Genomic DNA, 22,544 nt, shown 5'->3' with positions numbered 1-22,544 from the left:
GTGGCAGTGACTAGCTCCCGCGGCTAGCGGCACTGTCCACCGACGAGCGGCGCCCTCTTCTCCCCCTTCTCCCCACGATTTCCTTCTCTGCGGCGGCACGCCGTCCAGCAGCCTGCTTCGCCCCGTCGTCAACTTTGAGCTGGAGGAGAAGCAACTTTGGCAGTGGCCGCGGGGTTGGAATCCCGCTTCTCCTCGGCAGCAGTAGGCTCGCAAGTCGCTGGGGTTAGGTGGGGCAAGAGTTTCGCCGGCGCATCAGCGCTGCTTCGGACTGTTTGCAACGTGTTTCCAGCGAGCTGGGAGCGGGGTTGTGACTGCGAGTCGTCTGGGGGAGGGGGACTTGTTTTTCTTTTCCTCTAGAGACCTCGGCTTGCAACTGGATCAAACGCTGTCGAAAGGATGTAAATAGGCAGAGCAACTGTTACCAAGAAGGCCACCACCCCCACCCAAAGGCAGTGAGGAGTGTGGGGCTTCGTCTGGGCTCCCCCGAGTCTCAACAGTAATCAACAGTCAGGTGTTGATTGCAACTTTTCAAGGTCAGCCACCGGGAGTAGCCTATTCCCTCTAGGAACCTTGGAGGGCATACCTTGCTGGGACTCAACTTGGCTGAGAAATGCACAAGATGCCAAAGGAGGAAGGATTATAGGGGGCGTGTGTGTGACCCCCAAGACCGATCTTCCGCTATCACCCTAATCTCCGGTTCCCCGCTACCCGGGCGGGGGTGAGTATGTGACATGTGCCTAACTCTCAGCAGCAACTTCGGCAGCAGGTGTCGATCCTAACTAAGCAGGAGCTGCGGCTGCCGGGTGTGCCCTCACCAAGCCATGCGAGCCCCGGGCGCGCTTCTCGCCCGCATGTCGCGGCTACTGCTTCTGCTACTGCTCAAGGTGTCTGCCTCTTCTGCCCTCGGGGTCGCCCCTGCGTCCAGAAACGAAACTTGTCTGGGGGAGAGCTGTGCACCTACAGTGATCCAGCGCCGCGGCAGGGACGCCTGGGGACCGGGAAATTCTGCAAGAGACGTTCTGCGAGCCCGAGCACCCAGGGAGGAGCAGGGGGCAGCGTTTCTTGCGGGACCCTCCTGGGACCTGCCGGCGGCCCCGGGCCGTGACCCGGCTGCAGGCAGAGGGGCGGAGGCGTCGGCAGCCGGACCCCCGGGACCTCCAACCAGGCCACCTGGCCCCTGGAGGTGGAAAGGTGCTCGGGGTCAGGAGCCTTCTGAAACTTTGGGGAGAGGGAACCCCACGGCCCTCCAGCTCTTCCTTCAGATCTCAGAGGAGGAAGAGAAGGGTCCCAGAGGCGCTGGCATTTCCGGGCGTAGCCAGGAGCAGAGTGTGAAGACAGTCCCCGGAGCCAGCGATCTTTTTTACTGGCCAAGGAGAGCCGGGAAACTCCAGGGTTCCCACCACAAGCCCCTGTCCAAGACGGCCAATGGACTGGCGGGGCACGAAGGGTGGACAATTGCACTCCCGGGCCGGGCGCTGGCCCAGAATGGATCCTTGGGTGAAGGAATCCATGAGCCTGGGGGTCCCCGCCGGGGAAACAGCACGAACCGGCGTGTGAGACTGAAGAACCCCTTCTACCCGCTGACCCAGGAGTCCTATGGAGCCTACGCGGTCATGTGTCTGTCCGTGGTGATCTTCGGGACCGGCATCATTGGCAACCTGGCGGTGATGTGCATCGTGTGCCACAACTACTACATGCGGAGCATCTCCAACTCCCTCTTGGCCAACCTGGCCTTCTGGGACTTTCTCATCATCTTCTTCTGCCTTCCGCTGGTCATCTTCCACGAGCTGACCAAGAAGTGGCTGCTGGAGGACTTCTCCTGCAAGATCGTGCCCTATATAGAGGTAATGCCTTCCAGGGGCTCTCAAGCTAGTGGCTTTATCTGTTTTCGGGATTATAGCATCAGAGAACTGCTGCTGGATGCACCTATCTAGCTGAACGCCTTTCCTTTTTATCTGGGGCCCTCTTTCATTTCTCTTTCCAATCATTTATGCATGTATGTATATACAAAAAGAGGCAGCTTCGCGAAATCACCTTCAAATTCATCTGCTCCTGGGCTGTAAAAAAAGGATGATCTCACAATATACAGAATTGTTTGGAGTATAAATCTATCTCCCTGAATATGGTGTTATGCGTATTTCTGATTTGGCACTTGTCAGAGATTTTAGGGTTAAGTAAATGGCCAGCCTAAGGTTGTCATCATCAGAGCCTACAAGGAAAAAAAAAAAAACATTAGCATTTGTGTACTAGTTACCAAGTGCTTCAATGTGAGTTTTCCCCCAAGAAGATTATTGCATTTTTTCTTAAACAGCAAAGTTGGAGTAACATTTTATTGAAAGAAAGAAAGAAAGAAAATTGTGTTTGTCAGTTGGCCTCATGATATATTAATAACCTCTCAAATTAGTTTAAGTGTCTGACTGTCTTCCATGCTATCCCATCTAAATTCTTAAGTCATTTTTTGTTCCTGTCTTTTCCCATCTCGGTTTCTTAATTTTATTTTTGTGTGTTTGCGTGAACTTAAGCAAAAATAAGACTTTGGCCAGCGTGGCACATAATTTGTTTAACATTCTCAAAGTTATACATTTGTTATTTGTTATGGGTGGAAAGATTGGCTATTTTAAGGGATTGACCCTAAGACTAGAAAATTTCTTGGGAAGAAGGGGGCACATCTAGTTTCCAAACTTTGGAAACAAAAATCATTTTGAGTGAAATTGCATTGTTTCATCCTACAGCTAGTGTCCTGGCCCACTATTGTGGTAGGTGGACTTTGCTCTTTAAATGGCCTCTCTTTAAACACCAGCTCTTGGAAGGGGCCCAACTGTTTTGCTGCCAGTTGTGTTTTTAGCCAGCTGGCCCTTGATTTTCTCCATTCAGACTGTCCATTTCATTTATGGAAGCAGAAGAAGGGAAACTGTAAATATTCCGCAGCCCCTGATCCTGTCTGGCACCAGGGCCTGTGACACTATGTTCAACATTGTTCCAGGCCTAAAGCTGGGGGATAAGTAAACAGAAAACAGTACCTACTTAGACGGACCAAAGCTGGAGACAGTAAATAAGACCCTCTGTTATCTTGACAGGGATCAGGTGCAGGATCATTCCATGACTATGAAATCAGCTGTTGCTGCTTTAGCAGCGTCCATGATTTCTCCTGTTGCCAAGCTTGGCGTATCTCTGAAACATCTACTTTGTTTGGTAGACAATTCATTTTTGAATTGTGAAGGAGCCAGTTGAACTCATGTTAGAGAATATGTGTCTATTTACCAAACTGCCTCTTCAAGGTCAGTTTCAAATTTCTTTTTTTCTTTTTTTTTTTTTATCAGAAGAAATTGACTTATGCAAGAAAGAGACAAAAGTATAAAGCGGACAAGAGAGGTACCTCAATGACAGAGAAGTGTATTGGCTTATCTCACTGGAAATGTACTGGACATGTAGAAATCTGTATACACTAGAGGGAAAAACAATAGGACAGAAAAAGGAAATTGGGGAAAGAAAAATAAAAACACCAAAGTTCTTGAAAGAACACCTTAAAAGAAAAGAATATCAAATTCAGGAAAGATTATAAAAACTTTGGTTAATTTAATGAGATATAAGCATTTTGAGCAATGGCATTTATTATGTACTTATTTTAATTTTCTTTTTCCGTAATTCTGAGTTTGTACAAATGTAATACTTTCTTTCATTTGTATTTCACTTTTTAATTTAATCAGCTCCTCCTTAAGAGTGCTTTGTTTTTTGCCTCTTATTATTAGTAAAATCTTTTACTTTCTGTATTTTTGCTTAACTTTTCCCCATCCTAGTAGCTTTCTCTATTTTTCAGTTATTAGTGCTAGCATTTATTTTTCTTAGAGAATCAAAGGCTTAAAAAATTCACTCATTTATTTTTTAAAATTACAGTATAATATACATTTTTACTGTTAAAATAGTGAATGAACATCTTAATATGTAGCATTTCTATATTTCTACCTAATCCTTATTACTCTGAAATAATTTTAGAATGGTTTATAAAAATAATTATTGGACAATATTGCTGGCTTCATAATTCCTGATTACTGAGAACAAGAACTACAGTCCAAATCTCAAAATAAAAGTGTGTCTCCAGGAGGCACTGATGTTTTCACAAAAGTAAGAGGTATTTAGGGTTTCTCCTACGTTGGGTTCCTGCAAAAACAGGCCCTGAGATGTAGATTTATTGGGGCATCAAGTTTATTGGGTTGTGCTCTCAGGTTCAACCTATTAAGGAAAGAAGAAAGCAGGATTGGGCGGGCAAAGGGAGAAGTTGAACTGTGATGCAATTGCCACAGAGACCTCAGCTGACACCATTAGGAGCTTTAGGGCTGGGATGGCCATGCAGCCATATCCCAAATTGAGGCAAGAGGGCTCAGCCTTTACATCTCTTTATGGACCAGTCATTAGATGTAAGACATTGGATGCAAGCCTGCTCCCAGGATGGGGTATAACCTTGAGTTGGGTGGATCTCTTTGGTCAAGGGCAATTCCTAGAGAGGGATGCAGCTAAGCACTGTCAACCAATAGCCCCAGCAGCTGGAGGAATCAGTGCTTCATTCTTGAAGGACTTTGGAGGGAGCTGTCTGGGTGGAAAACCACAGCATCCACTACAGTAGCTTTTTTTTTTTTTTTTTTTTTGAGACGGAGTCTTGCTCTGTCACCAGGCTGGAGTGCAGTGGCACGATCTCAGCTCACTGCAACCTCTGCTTCAGGGGTTCAAGCTATTCTGCCTCAGCCTCCCAAGTAACTGGGACTACGGGTGCGTGTCACCACACCCGGCTAATTTTTTTTGTATTTTTAGTAGAGATGGGCTTTCACCATGTTGGCCAGGATGGTCTTGATCTCCTGACCTTGTGATCTGCCCACCTCTGCGTCCCAAAGTTCTGGGATTACAGGCGTGAGCCACCACGCCCAGCTTACAGTAGCTTTTGAACAATCATGTTAAATCAGACATAGATAATGTTCTAATCCAACTCCCTCATTTTAAAGATGAAATTTGAAGCTCAGAGACTATCCTAAACATATATACCTGGTCAGTAGCCACCAGACCCTTGGTCTCAATGCTTCATGTTTATATTTGCTGATTAGACCAACCTGTATGAAGCACAAGCTTTATCCAGTGAGTGTTTTCTTTTCCTTTCCGCTCCTTGGCATCTGAAAAATTTTTTCTTTTTTTAATCCACTAGACAGGAAAAAATAAAAACCCGTAAACATCATTTGTTATATAATGAAATGTATAGCTTCTTTTGTTTCTCATAAACTGTCAGTAAGTTCTGCAATTGGTAGTTAATTAAAATTTTTTAAATTGCAGTAATCTGAGACAACTATACTTTTTAATTTGCCTAGCATGATGACTTTAATGACCAAAAAGTTATATAGGTTAAATTTTATGTTCTTAAAATCATGAAGTATGTTAGATTGGTGAAGGACATTACAAGTACATTACATTTGTTCAAACTTTCTCCAAATCCCCTTCCAAAATTTTGCCTCTGACCTCAAGACTTTTAAAAATTTTTTGACATCTTGTCTACTTTCATATTTCTAAATTTTGCCATTCCTTCACTTGTTACTTTCTTATTTTATTTCTTGGCTATTTTTCCTTTCTTTAACTATGTATAATACCTTCTTATAGATTTATGATGTAGCATTCACCATTTTCCAGTAAGATGTTTAACCTTTTTCAGTGTTTTTATTTTTAATTTTTTCGTAGTTAATTTTAAATTTTATTCTCAATAGATTATGATTGAATTTTATAATTTTTCTCTCCCAGCTTCTCTTTTGCTTTATTTTTCTTTTCTACCACAGTTCTTTCTCCTGTACAGCTTGAGCGTTAGCATAATCTGAAGGGAATCGTGGGATTTTGGGGAAGATTTGGGTTTGTGTAGAAAAATATGAGGTACTTCTTGAGTAAAAACTATACTTTTTCTAATTTTCATTCAACTCCTCTTTCTATTTTAATTTGTTGGCCTAAAGCTTGAGGATAGCACCCAGCTTCCAAGGTCTATTGTGAGAAAGGAAGTTTTATGATGTTTAATATTGCCGTGAGTGAGAATGTTCTGGGAACTGTTGTAGTTGATGACTTTTCCCTTTCTATTCCAGGATTATGACATCTTTATGGCCTAATAATAAATCTCATAAAGTCGAAGGACAAATGAAATGGTAGGAAATGCCAGATAGGAGAGAAGAAAATTTGGATAGATCATGGCCGTCCTCCTAGACACATCAGTTTAAAGTGGTTTATTACTTAGCCACAAGAAAAAAACTATACTCAAAACAAAACTTGTATATGTAGTGTGCTTTTATGTGTATTAGGGGAGGTGGAGATATGTGTGGGTGTGGATTGCAATAGGAGAATGGCAGAGGAGTTCTCTACCATACCTACCATTCACTTAGGAATCTAACAAGTGTTTAAAACCAAATAATTTGGGCCAGGTGTGGTGGCACACCCCTGTAATCTCAGCACTTTGGGAGGCCTATGCAGGCAGATTGCTTAAGCCCAGGAGTTCAAGATCAGCCTGGCCAACAGGGCGAAACTCCATCTTTACAAAAAATACAAAAATTAACGGGATGTGGTGGTGCATGCCTGTAGTCCCAACCATTCAGGAGGCTGGGGTAGGAGGATTTCTGGAGCCTTGGAGGTTGAAGCTGCAGTGATCCATGATCATGCCACTGCATTCCAGCCTAGGTGACAGAGTGGGACCCTGTCTCAAAAAAAAAAAAAAAAAATTCAAATAATTCAGACATCAAATATGGCAACTGGAATGAATCTTTGCTCATTATTTAATGGAAGTCAGAATCAAGGTATCATCTGACCGAGATCCCAGATAACAGATTAAGGTCTGTTTGGACATTAATTGGAGGTTTTGAATGATCGAGATTCTCTTTAGTTTAAAGAACCCACACCTTCATGGAGTGTTGTAGAACAGAAGGCTTCAAATAATTATAATGAGATAACCCCAGATCTAACTGTATTTTTATTTTACTGGGATAAAACTCCTGCACAGAGGTGGAGAGAGAATAAAGGGAACATGTCTTACCATGGCCTCTGGTCTGGGAATAATTTGTGACAAGTCTAGAATCTTTTCTAATGAGAGGAACCAGCTTCTCCAATGACTTTAGCAATACTGGTTTTAAGTTGAGTGGAACAAATGGCTCTTTCATTGCCTTAGATTGTAGCTAGCACTGACAAGAAAGAAAGGGTTTTTGGAGGTTGAAGATGACAGTGCCATACAACTATCTGAGTCTACACAGATTTCCCTAGAACGCCTGTATTCAAGTAATAGAACATTTATCATGGCATATGGTAAATTTTCTTTGAGAGGTGGATTAGTCATTAGGTATTCTGCCGGACTTTTAAGTGGAAACTTACTGTTTTATGAGCAATTTTAAAGTTACTAATAGTATTCTTAGGGAAAATGTGCTCAATATATGAGAATGGTGCTGAACAAATATTTTATGACTTCCCATTAATCTTTTAGTAATCATTTTATATATTCCCATGCAAATGAAAATATTTAGCTGATGACTCTAACAGGAAGAAAAGTGTTTCTTAGAGTGCACTTTTATTTATAACTCCATTTCTGAATGGTGTATGGTGAAGTTAACTGAATTTGGATCTTCCACAAGAAAGAAAAGTTTTATAATATTCAAATAAGAAATCCAAATAGTTTCCTTTTCCATTGATCATAATGAGAATGTGTCCTTTTCTAAAGCTTGTCAATGAAGTATAAATAGGAAAATTGATTTTTTAACTTCCCTTCTATAGATATTGTCTGGCATTCAGCTTTTAAGGATTATATATAAAACAGCAGCACCCAATAACTGATTAAAGAACAATTTGAATAATTTATTATTTTCTGTAATCCTTTTCCATAGGTGTCATCATTCGTTCATTTGTTCACCATTCATTGATTTATCAAATGTTTACCTGGCTTTTCTTCTATGCGAGGTACTATTAGGAGTGGGCAGGAGAAGGCAATACAGGAAGAGGGGGAAAAGTTTCCAAAGATGAATATCATAGATGAGCCACTGCCATTAAAATTACAGAAAAGTAAAGTAATGTTCTACACCATGATGAATATTATAATAGAGGTTTGAACAAAGCATCGTGGAAGCTCAGAAATGGCACTGAAATGGGTCAAGTCACAGTTGTGCTTGTTATGACCAGAGATGGAGAAATTAAAGGGAAAACTGTGCTCCCTCTAATTCTTTTCAGTTACATTCTTACTATTAATCTTCATAAATTTCATAAATGCCTATACAGCCTAGATCCATGATGAAAAGTTACAAATGTGAAAATCTTTTAATTCTTGCTTTTTTGTTTCCTTTAGCTTTCCCAGGATAGAAAGTCCATAATAATAATTGGCAAAATAATTCAGCAAATAGTTCAGTTCTAGAAATTTCTTTTAAAATATGGAATTTGTGCCAGTGCCTAGGATATCTATCTCTGCTTTACAATTAGTCCTTATTAGCTATAAGGACACTAAATACGTCAAAATTAAACATTTTATTTAAATGAATGGCTTATTTGGCAATGTAATAACAGTATATTAAATTGAGTCCTTTTCTTCTGAAAAAATCAAAACATATACAAATTGTTTAACTTGACCTTGGAGAACCTAAGAAAGAAGATGGACAAGGGCGATACTTTAGACTCCATTGTGGAGTCGAGGAAAGGGGAGCACGATGAATGGACTTTCTCAAGAATTGGATTAATCTCTCAAGCACATAATCAGAGTGAAGATTTATTCTGAGCTCCTGAGGGCTCCCAAGGTATCCTGCCATGTCAGCAAAGTATCCTTCCACAGAGACAAGGAGGCAAATGTGTCTGCAGAAGTAAAACAGATATGAGCTTATAAGTTTACCGAAGGCTGAGTGGGTGAGGGTCTACCTTTGCTTTCATATTTAGGCTGCATGGACCTTGATACAATTTTTACACCTTTAATGGCATTCGTCTTATGTGCGGCAACCTTTTAACAGTATCCCATTGGAAGCACATGGACCTGTGTCTGGGATGTAGATTGTGGGAGAGGGATGGGAAGGCAGCTATGCAGTGCAGTTTGTCTCTGCCTCTGCACTTCTGCTCCATCCTCCAGGGATGCGCCTGTCATTTCACTTCCCATGAATTGACCTGCCAAGGTCCAATAATGAACTCAACCTTGTTGCCAAGACTAACTCTTAAATATCCTAATTGGAATAATACTCTTTGTGCCAGAAGAGATGATCTCATCCAAAATTTCAGAGTGGAGTTGAGAATGGGATTACTGCAACGTCAAATATGGAGGGTCTTTTTTTATTTGCAGAGTAAGTGTAGGTACTTTTCATAAACTTCCATAAAACGCAGGATATGATCACTGTGTCAGTCTTGTTCTTGAGACAGAATACTTTCCATTTGTGAATTTGTAATAGTTTTCAGTGTTATCTGTCTGTACACTTGAATAGTTCATAGCATTCATTAATGAGGCCAAGGTCATTGATTTGATCCCTGCCTAGAATGAGACATTCTTATTAGGTCTGTGACTCTATTCAGGGATGTTACTTTTTTCTTTTTTTCTGTCAAAATAGCCCCTTCCTCATCAATTCCCATCTTCAGGGCCTATCTTTACTATTGTCTTCCTAATTCAAATCCTTTTTATATCGGAAAAGCATCTGATAAGCCAATTCGCATCAAGATATGCAATTTAGAAATAACTGCCTTTTATAAGAAGATTGAATCAAGAAAGAAATTTCCTTAACAGACTACCAATAGTGAAATTTTGGTTAAAAGCAGATAAATTCTGTCCTAAAATATGGTTTCTCAATTTTATTAAAATCATGATGACCTAACTATACATAATTTTGTTTTTAGTTTGAGTTCACAGTCATGCAAATCAATATCATTAGTCAGAAAGGGAAATAGGTAAAAATGTGTTACTGCTTTTTGGAAACTCATCAGAACCCCAAGGTAAGGAACTGAAATTCCAGGTCACTTTAAGATTGACTAGGAACATCATAATAATACCAAAGATTGAGAACTGGACTGTGGGCTTGGGGGAAATATTACATTTTGAAATGATTTTGTAATTACTGAGAATAAACATGGAATCTTTAGAATCTAACATAGATGGTTTATATCTTAAGACAAAATGTTGCTAATCTTGCTTCATTTACATTTTTATTTTAATAAACACCTGACAGATTGATAGGAATTATAACATGTTAGGTTGTAGTTAAATGAATTTTTTTAACCATATAAGGAATGTACTGTGCTATAGACATCATAATTGGTAACAAACCTTAATTCAAGATAGGACTATAAAGGAAAAGAGGATTTATGGAATCAAGACAAGTTTTGGGAGAATATGTTGATTTTTAAATAGTCTTAAACGGCTTTTAAAATAAGGAAAGCGTGGTATCAAGCTTAGGCAAAAGAAGAGAAGGTGGAGAATGAGGCAGTAAGGACAGTTGATAGTTGATGCTTTCAAAATATTTTTCCCCCACGGCATTGGGAATCACATGTAAATGGAATAGTCTGAGTATATTAGAAATAAATGGTTATTTATTATATGTGGGCATATCAGACTAAATATCAGTTGATAAGGATAAGAAGTCTTCTCTTTGACTGTGGAACAGTGGCTGCCAGAGCTCTGTTTCATTCCAGAGAGTGCACAAGCAGTGTGTGCATGAATGTAAGGGGTGAGGAAAGTCTCTCCTTCTCTGCTTTTGGTTTAGAAATGCTAATCGAAGTGTGTCACTGCCATAGTATCATGATCTGCATACACTCCAAAATTAAGACCTTTTGCAAAAGGTCATCTTATTCAGAGCAGTCTGATAAACAGTGGCTCTGATAAACTTGTTCCCCCACTTGTGCTCAAAAAAGTATCTCCCACTGCTGCCCTGAAATGCTGCAAGGACAAGGATAATGGAAAAATGCAAGAAGAAGCCAAAGGCATAGAAGCTCCAGCCATTTAGAGGTTCTACCCTGTGCTCATCCTGTTCTTTTCCTGACTGGTTGTTAGGCCTGTAACCACTGACATAATAGGTTATCATTCACAGCCCAAATGAATGGGTTTTCTTAACAATAATGCCCTTGTTTTGAGGGTTACTTGTAAACAAAGGACAGCACATAAATAGATGTACTTAAAGATTTTTTATGTAAAATATAAGCCAGCCTAGAATGCAGTTAACAAGAACTTGGTTAGAAATTTTCCTATTTTATAAAAACCAGTGTATTCTAGTCACTTCACTGTACTTGAGCATGTAGATTCAATTTCATAGGAAGGAAATTTTGCTTAGGACACTGTTTCGTTTTTTCTTTTCCCATCGGTGTTATCACTGATTTGTACCGGAAAGTTTTGCGAAAGACACAATTTACTTTATGATTTGTATTTTATGGGCTCTGTGTTGTCTACTTCACGTCTTACTCTCATTTTTAATCTTTTTTAACTTGTCTGCAGTTAGCTTCTGAGAAATGCAGCAGTAGCTAAGACAGGATCTCTGTAGATTACTGGTTTTCATAAAGCACCCATGGGCTCTTTCTTCATATCATTTTGAATGAACAGAGATTTAATGTAGCACAAAGTGGCTATGGTAGCCCAGGTTCCTCAGGTCCTGATAGTTGCTTTAAATTAGAAACTTGAGCAGTGGGAAAAATGAAATCTAGTTATATCTTGACTTATAAAGCATGCTTTTTACCTTTTATTAAGTATTTTGCCTTATAAGTTTCTTTCTGTTTGTATTATTTTTTTTAAGAGAAACCTAGGGAAACATGGGACTTGAAATTACTGGAAAGAGCGATACATTTTTTTCTTACTTTATCAAGAGATAGTTTCACTCTGAATCTTTCCCCAAAGTCATTGTTGTCATGTAACTTACTGACCGGGTTAATTTCTCATCGGGGTATAAAGTAGCTGTCTTAAGTTGGACAGCATAGGTGCTGAACCAAAATTTGGGACTCACGATCTCATAAATACATGTTTAACAGAGGGACAAAATATTTGAAAGCTGAGGTATATTTATGGTTCTCATAACTACCAAGTTGGGTTTCTCTAAATTCAGTCTTGCCAGTGGTGATAAGGGACTAGATGAGGACCCGTATCATTTCCATGCAGGTGACTGTATTTGTACTCCTTCATTATCCTAACCAAACTACCTGTTTTTTGTTGGTTTCTTTCTGTAACAAAATTTAAAAGGTAACTCAAGAAGCCACTCACAAAAACTTCCATTATATTTTCAAAATCCTCCATACTTTATAGGTTTTTTTTTTCCACTTTGTGGTAGACTTTCATAGTGTATCATATCAGCATCCACAATTAGGGGAGAAATACATATTACCTTGCTCCTTATTAAGAAAACTGAGGCAAGGAGAAAATGAGAACTAATCTGTCAGAGTACTGAATGTCGCTTGAATATTGAACATCTGGAATGTCACTTGAAATATCTGGATCATTAAATTGAGCCAATTGCATCTTAACTGTAATTAGGAATAAACCTTTTTAGATGACTTCAAAATGGAGTTTTGTTAGTTAGAAAAACATTCAAAATATAGAATATAATAAAATTATTTTATGAGTGTTTTAAGCCCTTAGTATTCATTCTCCAGTATCTTATAAATCTCCAAATGAGCAAATATTGTAATAGCATAAATTTTACCCCTAAAATTATCATTATAAGAGAAAATTTATCTATTATCTCTATATTATCATTTAAGAGAAAACTTAAGAAACCCATCCAAACTTTAAATGATTTATTTAATGATTTTCTAAATGACTAAAGTAACATATAAAGCTAATGGCAATCCTTCCTGGGCTATTTTTTTTTCCTACACAGGAGCAAACTTTTACAACTTTACAAGGGTTACTATGTATGTCAAGAGCAACAAAGAGTACATTTAGACATGAATTCTGGGTGGTCTTCAAGTTCTCTTTCCTTTTTGTACCATCCTTGTATCCCACGGATTTAAATAGATACTTCAGTTAAAATACAAATCATGACTGTACTGCATTGTTAATAAACAGTCAAACTGACAATCACAAGGTTATCCTAGTCTAATAGACTAAGTAGGACATAGATGATATTTGCAAAGAATTGGATCATATCTCTTGAAATGCAGCTATACATCAGGAGAGGTTTTATAATTTGGTCAGCCTGTAAAGTTAGTTAGACATCTGTAGCAATTTCCCTAGGAGATACTGTGAAATTATGTTTGTCTTCCAATCTTGTTAAACTAGTGATTCTCAACTGCAGTCTCCAGGCAAACATGGATATGTCCCAGATCAAGGGGAGTCACAGTGAGCATGCCAGAAACTGTTAGTCAATCCTCTCTGCCTAGTAGACTGTAATGAGTGATTCCATATGTAAAGCAACTTGCTGGCTGCATGGTAGCAGGTGGGAGATAGTCGAGAAGTTCTGTCATAGATTCCAGACCTCTTGAGGATAAAATTCCTGCTTTATTCATCATTGTTCCCAGCAGCAGCTACAGTATATTTTATAGATTCTCTCTCTTTCTCTCTTAAAAACAAGACACACACACATATAGCATTGTGCTAATGCAGTGGTCTCTTTGCTAGTAATACAGTGTTCAATAAAGGCATAATAATGGGAACAGTTTAGGGGTGATCAAGAAGAATGACCCTAAACCCCTCACTTTGGTGTCCAAAGCCTCACTGCTCCACATGTGGGCTGGGTGGGAGCTGAAGGAGCTTTATTGTTGTTACTCTGGGACACAAAGAAAAGCAGAACATTGTTGTTTGAAAGATCTTAGAGTTGTTTATTTTGATTCCTTTCCATCTCTGTATTCTAATGCCAATCCTCTCAAAATGCTCAATATCTTATTTTCCCCAATAGTTAAAATTTTGTTTCTATTTTCCCGCTGATCTTGAAATTATCAAAATTAATAGTCTTGTCTCTGAAAAGTGTTTACAGTTCTGCTTTTGTTGCTGTTAATTATTCCTCCCATTGCAGTTTAATTAATAAGAGATTGCATCTTACTCATTCAGTCTCTCAGGATGTTGCTTCAAAGAACTACCCATCTAAGCCAATGCTTAACAGCTTTACTCCTGAGAGCATATTTCATGGTGATATTGAATTTTAGCAATCAGATATGGTCATTAAATGCAGAAGATCTGGCGTTCATGATGCAGTTTTATAATTGCACATAATTGCACTATTCATCTTAGAATTTTTAATAAGCTGCATGTAAACAAGTATATTTCAAAATTGTGATAGAAATCTTTTCATGTTGCTCCAATATCTAGGAATTTTAATTACATGGATAGATTTCATGTTTGGGTAAGAAGAAATTAGAACGCCACTCATTATTCATATGATTTTTATCAATTAATTTCTGAGGTGTGCAGTTACTACTTTACACATATTTAAAGCCTCCTATAAATAATTTGGAAAAGTACTGACAGGGCCTTTGTACATTTCTTGCTCTTTCACACCATAAAATGTAGTGCGTAAGTGAATTTACAGAAAAAAGATCTGAAGTAATATCACTGCAGGCAGTGGCAGCAGGAGAGAGTAGATGTCTAGGACTGGCATTTGGGATGCAGTTGCCAAGAGCAACTGCATCCCAAGCGCTAGCTGCATTTGGAGCAGTGCTACTTTCTTTGGCTCCTTCAGCAACTTTCTCTGTTGCTCTTGTGACCCTTCTGGACTGTTTACCCTGTTGCAGCTGGATCCTAACTGCAGAGAGTACTATCAGAGAAAAGTTCAATTTGAAAACAGAAGCCTGGATGTAGGAGCTTTTTGAAATTTGTATATGAAAACTGGGGAGGATTCCTTAATTCATGATTTATCAAAAAGACTACAGATCATGTATGTTTGAGCTTTTGACTTGGTACTAAAGCTTTTGGGAATATGACTGAAGAACTGAGCATCCTCAGATAAAACACAGTGTAGAATTCCTGATGATAAGTTGGAATACATGTAAATCTTGCTTAACATTTGTCCTGGCTTTTGTTGTCTTATGAGATTGAAGGTAAAGAACCTGGAAAAACATTGTTTTGCTTTCTTAGGCAGTTAACATCTTCTAATTAAGAGCGGATGTGCAGCACAGCTTCTGATATCTAAGGAGTTGGTAATCTAACACACCCATCTTAATACATGTCCACCGGCATGCATTTGCCATTACCTTTCATTAAAGACTTTGTAACTCCTGGAGTTAGGTATGCAGTTACTAGCATATGTGATAATTGATCCATATTTTTTCAATCTGTGGATTTAAAACTAGGGAGATTAATAGAGAAGATGCTATCTTTTGTGCATTGTGTGTTCTTTGCAAGTAATGATAGAAAACCACCAAGCAAATAGATGTTCTGAGCCTCTAAAAGATTGCCTCTCCTCAGAGTCTCCAGTATTTTTATATTACTGAGCTTTCCTTTTAATAGAAATCCTATTTGTGATTTCAAAAGGATGTATAGCATAAACTTTGGAAGCCTTGTATTTGTGGACTCATTCGGGCTATAAAGTGACGGGGAAGCATGCACAAAGATTTGCCTTAGTGAAGATGGCACGAAAGCCTTGACGAGGGTTTCTGATAGTTTAAGAAGTTTTGTTTTGTTTTTGACAGACTTAGGAGAAATGAATCAAAACATTTGAAAAACTAATATACAAATGTCAAGTTTCAAAAATCTATAAACTAAGGTACTGTAATTTCTACATGATACTGTTTGATATAGAATTTTAGGAAGTGGCCAGCCGTTCTTAGATGTCTTTATTAAGTGGCAATTACTGGCATTTTAAAACATGATCATAAGACAGTTGTACAATGTGGACCTCATTTTTAGAATTATTTTGTGCCTCTAGCATAGACGCAAAACAAATTTTCATCAATGTGAACAATTTTTAATTTGAAGGTTAATTATTAAAAGATGAAAGTGGAGATTATTTTTTGTCATTTGCAGTCATATTAGGTTGATGTTTCATATGCCAATGTTTATGGGAGACATTCTGAAAAATTTGGAGAATAAGAATTGTGGTTATCAGCCCAATTGTGCCTCTTTATCTGCACTGACTAGAGCTTTGCTAGCCATATTTTTTTTTTCATTTTTGCTTTTAATATAGTTAACACCTCATTATACCTCATTTTCAGACTGTCTCCACTACTAGTTATGAGAGTAGTCAGGGCATAAATACAATGTCCTTATTTTCCATATTAGAACTAGTAGATGCCGTCTGATATGTAGTGTATAAGGAGGAAATATTTGACATTGGAACTGTCAGAATCCCCAAGGCAAGTTGCCGTAGCTCTGGGGAGAGTGACAGCTTGAATGTAGTAGATAAACAACTAATGTTTTGAGTACTAAAATTGTATGACAAATGGTTTCCCTTTTGTCAACATCATCCCTTTGACTTTTAAAAAATGAGATATTAACATTATACTTACATTTCCCCTGCCCCTTTACCAGGGAATAGCCTATAACCATGCTTCTTAAACCTTCCTACCAGCAGGCAGGGGAGAGCAAAAGCTTATATTCAAGTTGTCTGGGATGTAGACCAAAGCATTCCATCCACCCAGGGAGTTTTCTTTTAGTCTCATATTTTATCTGAAACGTTATTAACATTTTACCTTCTACTCATTGTTCTTGTTTAAATATATAAATAATGACTACATTTATTACATATTAAATTACTTAAAATTTCCCCAGAATATTTAAGTAGGTTTAATATTGCCAGGTGATTGCTGTGTTTATGTTGTAACTTTGAGAACCATCGTCCCCATCTTGGTTGACTATGATATGCTTGAGGGAAGGGACTGCTTCTTGTAACTTTCTATTTTCTCGATACCAAGCATAGTGCTCGGCATAGAGTTGATATAAATAAATGTGTGCTTGTGTTGGATATGTATCTGTTTGCCCCATTTGAGTACATGTACAATGCTTAATAAATATTTTATAAGTAAATGAAATGATAGCATGCTTACATTAGGAACATGTGTTTATATTCCTGGAGAGCCTCTATGTGAAAAAAAAATAGGTACATATTTTTGGTTCTTAACCTTTAAATGTTGATTTTTTTAGATGTCTGGACCATATGCTTATAAGAGCAGTGCCTTTTTGAATACAGTTTTTCATGTGGTTATTGTCAAAGAGTTTTATGCTCCAAAATTTTCCTGTGTTTGGGATATCTAGACATTCTTTTTGGCTATTTTCTGCATATTTTCTTGTATTTTTACATGTTCTATTTTAGTATCTCCTATTTCTTTAAATTTGATGTACATACCTATTTTATGATAAATATACTTCTTATGTCTGATTCTGTATCTTTGGCATATAAATTCATAGTGGCTCATTGTCTCTTGCATATTGTGACTTTTGATTTTGTGAACCCATGTCCCTTGAATTTTAACTATAGGATTTTTTGAGGCCTGGTTTTAAAGTGCATTCTTCCAGAGAGGATTTATGTTTGATTTTAACCAGGTGCCTGGGATTATTTTAAATTGTATTTTGGGTTTTCTGAGCCACGTAGATCCTGGAAATTCTGATCCTAACACCATGTAAGTTCAGGCTCCCAGTTAGAATTTGCCATTTTTTTCCCTCCTTTTCCCCCAGTTCATCCAGACCCAAACCCTGTCATCCAGGCAGATTTCTTCATTATCTCTCTCTCTTTTTTCCCTTTACACCTCTAAAGATGTCAGCATTTGAGGAGTTCCAAATTCACAGGGAGTCTTTGACCCAATCCCCACCCACATTGGCCCCAGCTCTGTTTCCTGTCTCTGTGCACCTGGGCACCTTGCCCCATTTTTCTAGCTAAAACTAACTTGAAACCCTCACCAGGATTGGCAGGTGCCCCTAGGGCAAACACGCAGCATGAAGAGGGAGGGGTCTCTGGCCTGTTTGAAATTTGTTTCCTTTTTGATTTTGGCCTCTGGAGAATTTCCCTTTCTTGTTTTCCGTAAGTGTATGCCTTTGAAAATAATACTGTAATACTTTATTTTGCATTTAGGAAAAATTGGAGGAGCCCTCCAATCATTTAGTCCATTGGAGACAATAAGCTCTTGAGTGTTTGCTGTGTGTAAGGCACACTACTGACCCTCACACTGGAAAACATGAGCATCCTGGTCAGCAATGAAAATGGGAATTTCTGCACTACCCTGACTCCTTATCTAGATCTCCTAGTGGCAGACATTTTCGTGGTGAATAAAATTTTTAGTGTATCTGGGTTCTGATCTATAATAAAAAGGGATTGGACTAGCTGATCTTTATGGATCCTTCCAGTCCTAAATGTTCTGCACTCCATGACCCTCAAACCACTACAGTGTGTTTTCTTTTTTTATGCTTACAATGATTCAGCTGACGTCCTGAGCCCAGTTACCCATGCCTCATTCTGGAAAACTGTTCTCTCTCTCTCTCTCATTTTTATTTATCCATATTTTTTTTTACAGTTTTGCCAATCTGCATTTATTTCCTAGTGCTTTGATCTTTCGGGGGACACCGGGAATAAATGTCTTCTATGTTCCCCCACAGGTCGCTTCTCTGGGAGTCACCACTTTCACCTTATGTGCTCTGTGCATAGACCGCTTCCGTGCTGCCACCAACGTACAGATGTACTACGAAATGATCGAAAACTGTTCCTCAACAACTGCCAAACTTGCTGTTATATGGGTGGGAGCTCTATTGTTAGCACTTCCAGAAGTTGTTCTCCGCCAGCTGAGCAAGGAGGATTTGGGGTTTAGTGGCCGAGCTCCGGCAGAAAGGTGCATTATTAAGATCTCTCCTGATTTACCAGACACCATCTATGTTCTAGCCCTCACCTACGACAGTGCGAGACTGTGGTGGTATTTTGGCTGTTACTTTTGTTTGCCCACGCTTTTCACCATCACCTGCTCTCTAGTGACTGCGAGGAAAATCCGCAAAGCAGAGAAAGCCTGTACCCGAGGGAATAAACGGCAGATTCAACTAGAGAGTCAGATGAACTGTACAGTAGTGGCACTGACCATTTTATATGGATTTTGCATTATTCCTGAAAATATCTGCAACATTGTTACTGCCTACATGGCTACAGGGGTTTCACAGCAGACAATGGACCTCCTTAATATCATCAGCCAGTTCCTTTTGTTCTTTAAGTCCTGTGTCACCCCAGTCCTCCTTTTCTGTCTCTGCAAACCCTTCAGTCGGGCCTTCATGGAGTGCTGCTGCTGTTGCTGTGAGGAATGCATTCAGAAGTCTTCAACGGTGACCAGTGATGACAATGACAACGAGTACACCACGGAACTCGAACTCTCGCCTTTCAGTACCATACGCCGTGAAATGTCCACTTTTGCTTCTGTCGGAACTCATTGCTGAAGGACAGTACTTGGTTGGGTCAGATTTATTTGTTTGATTTTCATATCCCGTGAAAGTTTTTAATTCATATTTTTCCTTATAGGGAAAAATGCAAAAAAGAAACAATAAAGAAAGAAATATTAACTACTGTAGAACTGATTTTACAAATTAATATTTGTGCTTTGAAAAAAAGTTTCTATTTAGTTATTTAAGAAGAATGAGAAGGCCAATAGTTTTAGATTATTTTATCTGGTATGGTGCTAATATTTTATTTGAAAAAAGTTACTGCAACTTAACTTAAAATTGCTAACGTTTTTTCTTCTTTTAAAAATACAATTATTGTATATTGATTATAGCAATGTGATTTTGTAGGTTATTTTATATTTGAGTTGTGATTGAAAGTATGTTGTATATGGTATTGTGAGATGATTTGTACTTGGAAGCATTCACAAAGTAGCACCAAATAAATTACACTTTATTCTTTAATGTCATTGTCAATCTACTTTTAACCAATATTCAATAAATCTTCTAATTGCCTTAAAGATACAATTACTGGTTCTATGCACAATTTAAAACCGGCCTTACTGTTTTATAACGTATTTTCTTTTAAGGCAGGTAATCATTATGTTATAAAGAAGTTTTTCTAATAGCAGTATTTTATATGCATGATTCATAAAACTATGTTGTATGTTAAAACAAAGCTGTATTTTTAATATTCAGGTATAGATGTCAAATTACTTCTGAATACTTATAAAATATGAATAAATAGCAGAGTAGGAAGAAAGTTTCTTTTTTAAAAAATTCACCTCTGAACTAGCACATAGAGCTACAGATTTTCCCTTGGGGAATTATGGGCAGAATCAAGAATTTTAAAATGCAGTTGTCATCTGATTTCCTCTGAACACTGACCTTTGAAGCTTTGTGAATCCTACGTAAAGCACTCTGAGTTCTAATTTTTCTCCTTTTGAAAAATAAACTTGATGAAATCTATACAACTTAATTTCTTTAAGTGCAATGAAAGTATAGGAGTGGAATAATAAAATATTTATATATTTTTATTAGAACATTCTACCTTTAACTTGATACTTCATAAACTCTGAATAAAAAAACCTAACCTCCTCCATTGGGAATATTTGAATCCCCTCTTTTGCCTCTTCTGGAGTTTAAAATGCAGCAGTTGTGTAGGATGCTTGCTGTGTGGGACACATGTCTAACTCAGGTGGCAGAGACCATGACCTAGTGACACAGTGATATTTAAAAGCTACCAAAGAAGATGTGTAGTTGGATGTCTTTGTCTTCAGAAAAATCTTGTTATAGAGAACCCAGTTTTCTTGCTGGGAAAACGTAGTTTCTGCTTGTTGATTTCTGTTCTACTCGGCATAAGTAAGTCAGTATTCCTTTTTCCAAATTATAACATGATGTTATTTAAAAATCATTAAAGAGATTGGTGCAGGTGAAACTTAAATGGCAGTGCCCAGGCTATCTCCTTTTTCCCAGTCCAATACTTTTCAAAGGGGTTTTTCCCTCCATTGTGTGTATTCTGTGGGATCTGCAGGAGAATTCAAACAAGGTGCCCTTGTCTTCTTGTAGATCCCTGTAATAGGTCTTTGGAAAATTTCTCAAGAGGACACCTGAGCTAGGTTTTGGCTGCTGAGCAGAACAGCAACTGTGATTCCATAGTGTCTCTCCTGATATTTAGTCACTTTATAAATCAAGGAACAATTGAGCATGTCATGTGGAAAAGATTCTATCCTATTACCTGAGTAACTAAAGGTAAATAGGTCACAGCCTCAGACCTTACAGAATCAGGCAGGGATGACATGGATGGGAAGGAATAAAATAAATACATAGACAACTATGATATAAGCTGGGGCTTGTTAGGTGCCTCAGGAAGATGTGAAGTTCTGCGATACTTTGGAATAGAGGGAATGCTTATAGGGTTAGAAGAGAGCATGAAAGGCTTTATGAGATAACTGGATGAGTGGGCTTTTAGAAGGAGCTGATGAAAGATGGTGTGAGGAGTGGACACTTCAGGAGGAGAGAGCTAATTTATAAAGGAATAGAAGAAGAAATCAGTGGGTGTGATTGAAGAATAAACAGCCCAGTTTGACTTCTGTGCTACGTGTGCATAGCAGCCTTGTGGGAAATATTAAAGAAAATATGCACCAAGGCCATCTAATAATAGGACCATGTTTTGAAAGATGTTTACATGGTGGTGCTTCAGGAAATGGGGCTTTGCTTTTAAGGTTTTTGAGTATGGAGAAATAGTATCCCAGCTCTGCAATAGGAAGATCAACTTGCAAACAGTTTAAATAGGCTGGTAGGGGACAGTCTGATCATGAAAAAGCAACTAGGAAGCTATTATAAGAGATTGAACCACAATGGAGGCAGCAGGAACTTAAATTTCTTTTTTCATTTATACTTGCCTTTCAACTTTTTGTAGTTGCAACATGTACTTTCTTATTGAATCCTACCTCTGTCAAAGTGGAAACTTTGATAACTCAAATTGTCCCAAGTATAAAGTGATTTCAAAGTTTTCTCATAGTCGTCTTGTGTTTTTCACAAAAACCAATTTCTATAATATACTTTTAAAAAATTGTTAATCATTTCTGTTCAACATTTCTTCAGTCTGGATCTTATCCAATGTCTTACGCTCCTCGTTAAACAACAAAAAAAAAAAAAAAAGAAAAAGAAAAAGAAACTCACATCTAAGATTAAGTTCAGTAAAATTTTGATTAATCAGAAAATGCTAGGAATGGCGTTTTCGTTACTTAACAGTAACACTTTTGTGGTTTCAGGGTAGTCAATGAAAATATTTTCAAAATATATGTCTATATCTATAACTGGATATAATTAACTCAATTTAACATTTATTTGATGATCCACAATTTTGAAGCCTTTGAATGTTTGACTTCAAGCAGCAAGAAAGATGGAGTGATAGTGGGAAGGTAAAGGTGAAGTGGTACTCTGAGGGATCAGTGGTTGAGAGGGAAGAGGTAGGAAGAAGAGCTTCACAGAGGAAAAGGATCAAATCCTTATTGTTCCATATTATAGATGTAAGTTACTGAATTCTAAGAAAATGCTGATACTTATTTTAAAAACTGTATCCCTAATCTTTTTTCCTCATCAGTTCCTTATTTCTCATAAAAGTAAAATTAGAATAAAAGATCCATTTCTTTAAGAATTATGGTGAGATTGATTTTAGTATGTTATGTAACGTAGCAAGTGATACTGAGTGCAGGGCATTTTAAGTAACAGCTCTTTCATTATATCTCAGCTAATTTATTCAACA

At 38.1% G+C, this 22,544-nt stretch overlaps 1 protein-coding gene across 1 annotated transcript, besides 2 other annotated features; it reads left to right on the top strand.

Annotated features, from left to right (window-relative positions):
- Positions 6–21,913, top strand: GPR37 (G protein-coupled receptor 37). The gene is made up of 2 exons (NM_005302.5): positions 6–1,844; positions 18,455–21,913. Exons 1-2 carry the CDS (start codon positions 822–824, stop codon positions 19,271–19,273), a joined length of 1,842 nt encoding a protein of 613 aa, NP_005293.1. The 5' UTR covers positions 6–821; the 3' UTR covers positions 19,274–21,913.
- Positions 7,966–8,110: an enhancer, noted in NCBI's record as "145 bp 7:124397814 sequence used in MPRA reporter constructs". NCBI's record gives its function as "activates a minimal TATA-containing promoter with rs2299902 allelic activity by MPRAs in C283T melanocytes {active_cell/tissue: C283T}" and the evidence as "EXISTENCE:reporter gene assay evidence [ECO:0000049][PMID:36423637]".
- Position 8,038: a transcriptional cis regulatory region, noted in NCBI's record as "rs2299902 or 7:124397814 MPRA-significant variant associated with a GWAS melanoma risk locus at 7q31.33". NCBI's record gives its function as "allelic transcriptional activity by MPRAs in C283T melanocytes {active_cell/tissue: C283T}" and the evidence as "EXISTENCE:reporter gene assay evidence [ECO:0000049][PMID:36423637]".
- Positions 21,914–22,544: the final 631 nt, after the last annotated feature.

The sequence above is a fragment of the Homo sapiens genome, chromosome 7 (genome assembly GCF_000001405.40).
Source record: "Homo sapiens chromosome 7, GRCh38.p14 Primary Assembly".
NCBI lineage: Eukaryota > Metazoa > Chordata > Mammalia > Primates > Hominidae > Homo > Homo sapiens.
The sequence above is the reverse complement of the archived record's forward strand: the minus strand, read 5'-3'. Positions and strand labels throughout refer to the sequence as shown.